Below are 8,764 nucleotides of genomic sequence, written 5' to 3'. Positions count from 1 at the left end.
CTGCTTTTATCCCCTGTAAAATCCTTGTTTACTTTTTGTGCTGATTGGTTTAGCTATCTCTTTGTTTCAATGCCTCTTTCCAAATCATGCCCTGGGGGCCTCATCTTTGCTAAATAGAAGGCTACTTACTCCAGAGAGAAATTATGCTACTTCCTTACAGGCTGAAGCTGCCGCAGTCACTCATGGTTTTAAATAGTAATTGCTTTATCTCTGCCATAAGACCCTGCAACAGGGCTTGAAGTTGTAGGCGGGAGGTAATTATGGTTTTGGGATGTGGCAGGTTCCAGAATTCACTGTCACCCAAGGAGATTGACAGCATGTGTTTGTCCTGAGGAAAAGGAGGTTCTGTGTGTTACCTGAAAACATATTAAAATGCTGGAACTCTTTGGGCTCTGGTAAACTCATTATGGGTCCTTTGGCTTTTCCTGCATCCTGCCCTTCCACCTGTACCCGCCCCCCCCCCCCCCACACACACACAAGAACTCTCGAGAGAGAGAGAGAGAGAGACAGAAGAAACTTTCTCTTCATTTGGCAGCATCAGATGTGGTAGCCATCAGGTTCCCTGACCCTGACGCACAACAGAGATATTCCTGATTCCTCAGGAGTGCTTTACCACCTGTGCATACGTAACAAAGACAAGGAGAGAGCGTTCTAGCACTTCATTGTCTCTTGGAATTACTGGACCTGGCTACTGTAGAGCTCTGGGCCTGCCATCTGCAACTGAAAGAGCTCTGTCAGCAACCACTGTGGGCTCAGACAACTTTGCTGTCACTTTCCCAACTGAGTGCAAAAAATAAAAAAATAGAAAAGAAAAATCCTCCGTCTTCACAAAAACAACAATGGGGATCGTAAGGCTTGAGGTGCAGTGGTTTGACTCCATTTTTAAAATGACATCATGTGTGGGAACCTCCATCTTCCCTAGCAGCAGCGGCAGCACCAACAGCTGCGCTGATAGGAGCAGTATGGCAAGCTGCATGCAAAACGATGTAGAGCTACACATCTGGGCTCAGCAAACTGATGAGGAATAATTGTGGACCTATGCGAGCACCCCTTGGAGGGAGCTCTATAAAAATTGGGCTTCCTTGACTCAACAAGAAGCCAGTCAAATGGGGGTTTGCTCACTGCTATTGACTTTTGGGGTTTCATATATGACTGCATTTGCAATCAGCAGCTGCTAAATCCGGAGACACTTGGATTACATGAGTATAAACAGCTTTTGTCTTTAAGTCTATGAAATTCACAGAAATACAAGGCTGCACTGCTGTAGTATTATTCTGTGACTTTAACCCATTCTATTGGCAATGTTTCCAGAATGCTACTAGATAAATTTCCACACAAACTGTTGGAAGAAGACTAGGTAATAATATCTGAACACCACTTATAAGGAATATGTTAAGTGCTTTACCTGTCTTATCTCATTAAATCCCTATCATTGCCCTAAGAGGCAAATGTTATTTATCCCCATCTTAGGGATATGAAAAGAGGCTCAGAGACTTAAATAATTTAAGGTCAGGCAACTAATTAACATTATAACTACTTAATTGAAGATCTGAAAATAAATACAAAACTAGGACAACCCAAAGACTCTGGGACACACTTCTGATGCCCTTTATCTTAAGGTGAGCTCCTCACCCCTGGCTCCCGGTCCCTACTACTCACCCTGGCAAGGGAGGATGGGTCACAGAGCTTTGCTTCAGAGCTCTCATGCACCCACTCCCATGGGCAAATTCCCTAGAAGCAGAATTTGAGATGAGGATTCATGAGCAAGCAATTTAGTAAGAAAGTCTTCCCAGACGTCACTGACGAGGGAGTGAGGGAGGCAGAACTGGGGAGGGCAGGGAATCAAGCGAAGTTGTGACCTCAGGTAAAGACCCACTCAGTGACTTCACCTGATCCCACAGGGGAGCTCTGGGATAGGGCATAAGCAACACCTCAGAGTTGCCCAACCAGAGGCTCTCTAGGAAACCAAGCCCCAGGCACTGGCCACTGAAAGCATATTTCACCAAACCCACTGGCACACACAGTCAAAAGGGAACTGAGGAGCCTGACCAAAACAACAACATATCCACTGCACCCATTCAACAGCAGAGCTGGCTCGCAACCAGCTGCAATCCTTGAAAGCCATCCCATGAGAGCAGAATTAGAGGGAGTGCTTCCATAATTTGGGCTTCAGACTGACTGTGTATACCCAGGAAGAATAGAAAGACTTAGGTCAGCCTTTTTGTTTATTGAAGCCAGTCTGTGATTGGGGAGCCCAGCTTTTCAGGTTTCTAGAAGGCGAATGAGTATGTAGTCAAAGAAGCAGCTTGATGCCGCCAAAGGAGCTGTGGCTTTTTAATCCAAACATGAGGTGTGCTTCCCCGCACATCCCCCACTGCCTGGCTCTGTGATCCTGAGCAAATCATTTAATTCATGTAAGCCTCAAGTCCCTTAGCAGGAAAAGGAAGAAAATTATTTCCTTAGAGTTTGCTAGAATAACCAGATGAGGTGATGTCTATGAAAGTTCTTTGTAAATGGTCAGCATGATATAAATATAAGTTAGTAGTAGGATTAGGTTGTAGTTGGATTAAACAGAGAGAACTGTATTTCCATTCAAATGGGCTGCATGTAGTTAAATATAAATGAACATGGTTAGATATCAATTTGAGGAAAATGGAGTGTTTTATTATTCACATGCCCATTCTCTAACATCTCTATCCAAGCCATCATCCAGCTGAGGATTAGATGGATTTGAAAAGAGAGCAGCCTTGAGCTTCAAGAACTCCAGCTCACAATGACACAACCCCGCTACTCCCTCTGAAGGCTTGGGCCTCACTGTCTGCTCCACCCTGGAGGGGCCCACACCTCACACCTCTCACACATTCTATAGCCCTGTCTCTCCAGCTTTCCCTACACAATCTGCACTGAACTCTGCAGCACCCCAAGAGAATATAACATGATAAGCACATTCTCATGAAGGCCAAATGACATAATGGAATAAACATTCCCCGCTACAGGGCACAGCTTTAACCCAAAGGAATAGCTCTCAAATATCAGTGGAAAACTGGCTGCTGAGTGTAGTGGGCAGATTTGAGCACCCAGGGCAATACTCTAGAAATCACACCAGAGACATCTTTTGGGTGAAATAAAGCTAGCATTGTTTGTGAGAAGAATGTCCCTCTTCAGAGCAATTTCCCAGTGTAGAACACAAAGGGCCTCAATTAACACAGCATATTTCTTTCTCAACTATCTCTTGGGCAAGTGAATAAAGAAAGAATAGACTTTGGGATCAGAACAACCTGAGTTTTACTCCTGGCTTCAGCATTTACTAGCTTTGTGACCTTCAGCATTATCTGAACCTCAGTGTTCTCATCTGTGAAATGGAGATGAGTACCTCCTCATGAGGTTACTATAAAAATAAAATGCATGTAAACTGTTTAACAGGCATCCAACTGCATAGCAGATATTTGACAAATGTTATCAATAAAGTCAGTAATAATATGTAAAGGAATTAATACAATGCCTATGACATCATCAGACATTTTTATCATTATTATGCTCCTCACGGAGGATTTCAGTGGTTTGTACTTGGTGGGCATGCAGTAAATACTTGTTAAATTAATGAACACAGTAATGGTTGCAGCCAGCAAGCTTGCTAACCCATAAAGGAAAGAGAACACCTCTGAATTTTCTTTCTGAAGAATCTCTTTCATCCTAAACATCTTAAAAATAGGCCCTGGGCCTCTGCTGTGGTTCCATGTGACACACTGTCATCATGGCAGGTCCTCTCTCCTCAGCCGGAGATGAGCAAGGTCCCTGAACAATTGCCAGCACACATAGCCCTCACAGGCAGGGGCTAGACTCGAGGCCATCATCATCAGCAGGGCTGTACATCACCAACTGCTTCATTTGGGATCAGGATGGAAAGTGTTCTGATGTGGGTTTGTGCTAATTTACCTAGCTCCAAAGCTAAACATCAGAAGTGGGAAGCCGGGCACAGTGGCTAACACCTGTAATCGCAGCACTCTGGGAGGCTGAGGCAGGCAGATCACCTGAGGTCAGGAGTTTGAGACCAACCTGGCCAACATGGCGAAATGCTGTCTCTACTAAAAATATAAAAATTAGGCAGGCTTGGTGGTGCACACCTGTAGTCCCAGCTGCTTAGGGGGCTGAGGCAGGAGAATCGCTTGAACCCGGGAGGCTGAGGTTGCAATGAGCCAAGATTGTGCCACTGCACTCCTGCCTGGGTGACACAGTGAGACTTCATCTCAAAAAAAAAAAAAAAAAGTGGACACATCACAGGTATTGGTGTTTGTGTCTGGGATGACACCTGCATTGACTTTATGCAAAACTTGGAGCCATTAGATATCCAGACACCTCTCCATGTCAATGAAAAAAAGCACAGAAATACAGGACATCAGCAGTACCACAGTGAGATATTCTCCAACTCTTTTTACAGCCACCTGCACAGCTGGTGGACATCGCTTTCCTTGTAGATTTTGAAGGGAAAGAAGAAGGTAGGGCAGCCAATCACAGAGAAACCACTGTCTCCTTAAGTCAGGCCTGAAAATAACCAGAGGGAAGAATCCAGACAGGAACAAGAGGCGTTAAGGGAGGGCTGGCTGACCGCTCATAAGGAGACTGGGTTGGCAGCATCCTATAGGACACAGAGGAAAGAGTCATACTGCCTGGAGTCAGGTTTCAAATAGATATCATGGAATAGGGCTAAGAAGTCCTAGAAATGACAGCCTCTTCAGGGAGAAAGGAAAGAGATCATATTTACTGATTAGCTACATGACAATAACAACTGTTATTAATTGAGAACATATGCCAGGCTCTATGCAAAAATCATCCCCTTTATCTGCATAATAAGCATGTAAAAGGTACTACTTAAGTTTGCTAAGGCTGCCATAACAAAATACCAAAGACTGGGTGTCTTAAACAACAGATGTGTGTTTTCTCACAGTTCTGGAGACAGGAAGTCCAAGACCAGGGTGCCGGCAGGATTGGTTTTCTCTCTCCTCTCTCCTTGGCTTGTAGATGGCTGCCCTCCTTCTGCCTCTTCACTTGGTGATCCCACTGTGAACATGCATCCCTGATGTCGCTTGTGTCCAAATTTCCTCTTCTTATAAGGACAGCAGTCAGATTGGATTAGGGCCCAACCTAAAGGCCTCACTGCAACTTAATATACCTCTGTAAAAGGCCCTGTCTCCAACTACAGTCATTCTGAGGTACTGGGATTAAGGCTTCAATATATGAATTTTGGAGGGACGCAATTCACCCCTAGCAGGTACTATGATTCTCTTTTTATTGATAAGGATTTTAAGATCTGTGGTGTGTAAATGTGAGTAAATGATGAAGGTGGGATTTGAATTCAGGTCTATTGTCTCCACCAAGTGACACTGCCTCTAAAAGCTGATGAGCAGTACAAAGAAATGAGGCTAAGAGTGACATACATATCAGTATTTATAAGCTACTGACATGTCTAGGTTTTGGTATGTGGTTTACTTGGAAGTCAGCTTTGAAATGCCTACTAAGTGTAAGTCCTGCAGTTGTGAATTAATTTACATTTTATTCCTTTGTTACTATAGAAAATTTCTCTAAGCAACAGAAAAATCTGTAAGCCACCCCTGCACAGGCACATACCCGCCCTGGCTAATTATTTTAGACATTGTTCAAATCTATGATCCTAATTAACAGTGTGCACAGCCTATCCAAAGCATGAGCCCAGCATCTCTCACAGTTTGTAATCCCTCTGGTTCTCCAGTCCACGCGCCAGATTCAGGTATGGCTGCCGTCCACACCATCACCTCTCCTTCTGCATGAGGTGGGAGGAGGGGTCATGGTGGGTAACGAATCAATAATGCTCAGCCAATTCCCTGAACTCGGTTGACATGCATGGCCAGTTTTCTCTTGTGATTAATTACACTTGCTTTTGCAAGAGGATTAATTCACTTTTCTAGAGAGCTTTTCTGATTTCTGCTATTAAAAAGCCAATCTCAACAATTCCTCTAGCTCAGAAGGAATGGAGTCCAGTTCAGTGTGTGTGATCAAAATTGTTGAAATTCATGGCTTAAAAGAGAGTGTGGTTACAAACAGAAGGAAGGATGTATGTGGTGGCGGGGAGGGTTGCATGTGCATGTGTATGTGGATTCATGTAATACACATACATGAGCATAAGTATAATCTCACACAATTACGATTTTTCTCATTAAGGTGACTGTATGTCCCTTTTTTCATGGTTGCCACCTATTTCAAAAGCCTACCAAATTAAATGTACAAGCAAATCAGATACTGCACATTTTAGATAATAATACAGTCAAAAAGAGGAACAGATAATTGGAGACATATTCACAATTAGATATAACTCTCTTCAAACAAAGAACGACCCCCAGTTAATTAATGTTTGTCAAGCACTTTAAAATCATATAATTCAACATTCTAGACATTCCCACCTAAAGATAGGAAGACAAAGGGGCTGGGGAAGCAGCTTAGGCTGGTTCTGGGTCTTGTCTTCTTCAGTTATTCATCAGATTTACCAAAGAAGGAGGAGAAAAAAACACATGCACACAAAGTAGCTGGAACTAAATTTCCTTAAAAGCTATTCCTCTGTCTCTTCCTCTCATTTTTCTTTATGAGTGAATGGGGAATAATTCTTCTGAGAGACAATTCACAGGAGCACAAACATCAATTCTTAATTATTAATAACACGATTTGTTATTTATCGAACATCAACAGTGCATTAGATGTTGTACAAAACACAGATAGCTTCAAATCTTAAATCAAGTTGGTTCACTTGGAAATGTGGGTCTTCGGGTGTTTTTCTCTTTCAGTTTCTGCTTTCTTGGATGGGTTCTTGGGCACTGAGCTGGATAATGAGGTGCTGCCTACCTTGGAGGGAAGCGTCTTCCTGGTACTTAGGCTTTATCACCCACAGCTCAGGTAAGAGCAGATCATTTACCAGAGACTAGAAGACTCGAAGCTAAGGAGTGGACACTGAAAGATGTCACATCCAGTAGTCTCCAAACTCAGCTGACCATGTCCCATCTTAGTAAAATATCTGAGTAGGCACCCGGTTATTTTTATATATCCACTTATAAGTTATGTACACACACTATGGTACTGACACATTATGAACATTATAACACATGCACAATAATTTAAAAGATCACGTGAAGATAAAATGTTTTAAAACAATTTTTGTTTTATTGTATTTTATATAAAGAATTTTTACTCTCACTAAAAAGCTGCCACCACTGATAACGTTTCTTTACTGAGAATAATCCACTTGAATATGCTTCATTACAAAAAAGAAAAATCTTGGTTTAGTTCCTTGTGATAGAGGAATCTGAAAGTTTGGTGCAGCCTTAATGGCTGTCATTGCTGAGAAAGATGCTTCTCCAAAATATGTTGATCCAAATGTGGGAAAGATGCATTGTTGGCTGGGCTTACTAAATCATGAAACTTATTTTAACTTGCATCCACCAGTTATGAGAAAGTTCTTTTTTTAAGTTTGCTAGTGAATTTCATTTTTTCCTGCTCTATCATTTGTTCTTGCCAGCAAGTTAGAACTTAATGAATTTTTATGTGTTTAATAAATGCGTTCTTCAAAATATCCTGAAACTCTTCACTTTAAAATCGATTTTAAAATTTTATTACTAGGTTTTCTAAGTTTCCAGTGTTCTGATTGTTAAAGGTTATACATTTACACAGCTTTGGCAACAAAAATAACATTAACGATGGAAACATTTTCAGCCATTATTTGCAAAATGCTTTTATCATTGCAGAGGTTTTTGGTTTTCTTTGTTCAAAAAGCAACTGATTTCTCACCTTAGAGAAGTAAATTAGTTTGACTGAGAAAGACTCTTCCTTTAAACCCCACTCTTTCACTGATTACTGAGTGATCTTGGGGAAGTCAGTTTTGCCTTTCTGAGCCTTGGTTTCCTCATCTGTAAAATGGAGTTAATTGTCCCTACTTTTTAAGGCTGTGTCATGAGTCAATGACTTAACCCACTGAAAGCAGAACATGCCTGGTCCATGTATTTAAATGGGACCAGTAAGTGTGTTTATTTGTTCAAAACTGTCTAAGAAGTCTACTACCATCTGCCACTTGTCACAGGAAGTCAGCATACTTGCATGATTGCATGCTTCTTCTTGTAAGAAAAAATGCACAACTTTAAGTTAGACTGTGCTTTATTTCATCCCAAGATAACCCACAAACCTCTTTGTGACACAACAATTGTCATGTTTATTTCCCATTTCATTTAAGCTAAAGCTAATACTATTTGCAATTCTGCAATTTAAGATGCATTTCTTTCACAGGGCACAGTTAAACTACAGGTGTATGGAAACATGTGAATGTAAACAAACAAAGGAAGATCCTGCTGCAGCCTTCCGTGTTGGAGGACTCCTGCTCTTGCTGCAGTGTCCTGTGTGACCTCTCAGATGTGGCACAAGACTGTCTGATTCACTAGACATCAAATGTTAGTAGGCCTACTTTCTTTTTTTTACTCTTATATAGAATGTAAATATCAAGGGGATTTCATGTATCTTGTGCCCTCCACTGTGGAGTCCATTGCTCTGGTCTAGCAGTTTCTAACAAAGATTCTCTACATACTACCAGAGCTACTAAGTCAGACTCCTTGGGTGAGGTCTGCTTCTCCACCAGCTCCCAGCCTGCTGGCGTCTGACAACTTGATGAAACTAACCTCCCCACGTGGGCAGCTCCTTTACAGCAGCCTTGACAGGTGTTCATCTTCTTGAACATTTCTGATGATGAAGAGCT

At 42.0% G+C, this 8,764-nt stretch overlaps 2 annotated features.

Annotated features, from left to right (window-relative positions):
- Positions 392–934: an enhancer, noted in NCBI's record as "NANOG hESC enhancer chr5:126432239-126432781 (GRCh37/hg19 assembly coordinates)". NCBI's record gives its function as "activates a minimal SCP1, AML or CMV promoter by ChIP-STARR-seq in naive H9 embryonic stem cells {active_cell/tissue: H9 hESC(naive)}" and the evidence as "EXISTENCE:reporter gene assay evidence [ECO:0000049][PMID:30033119]".
- Positions 1,443–1,942: an enhancer, noted in NCBI's record as "H3K27ac hESC enhancer chr5:126431231-126431730 (GRCh37/hg19 assembly coordinates)". NCBI's record gives its function as "activates a minimal SCP1, AML or CMV promoter by ChIP-STARR-seq in primed H9 embryonic stem cells {active_cell/tissue: H9 hESC(primed)}" and the evidence as "EXISTENCE:reporter gene assay evidence [ECO:0000049][PMID:30033119]".

This window comes from Homo sapiens, chromosome 5 (assembly GCF_000001405.40).
Source record: "Homo sapiens chromosome 5, GRCh38.p14 Primary Assembly".
Classification (NCBI taxonomy): domain Eukaryota; kingdom Metazoa; phylum Chordata; class Mammalia; order Primates; family Hominidae; genus Homo; species Homo sapiens.
Note: the sequence above shows the minus strand (reverse complement) of the source record. Positions and strands in the feature narration are given on the sequence as shown.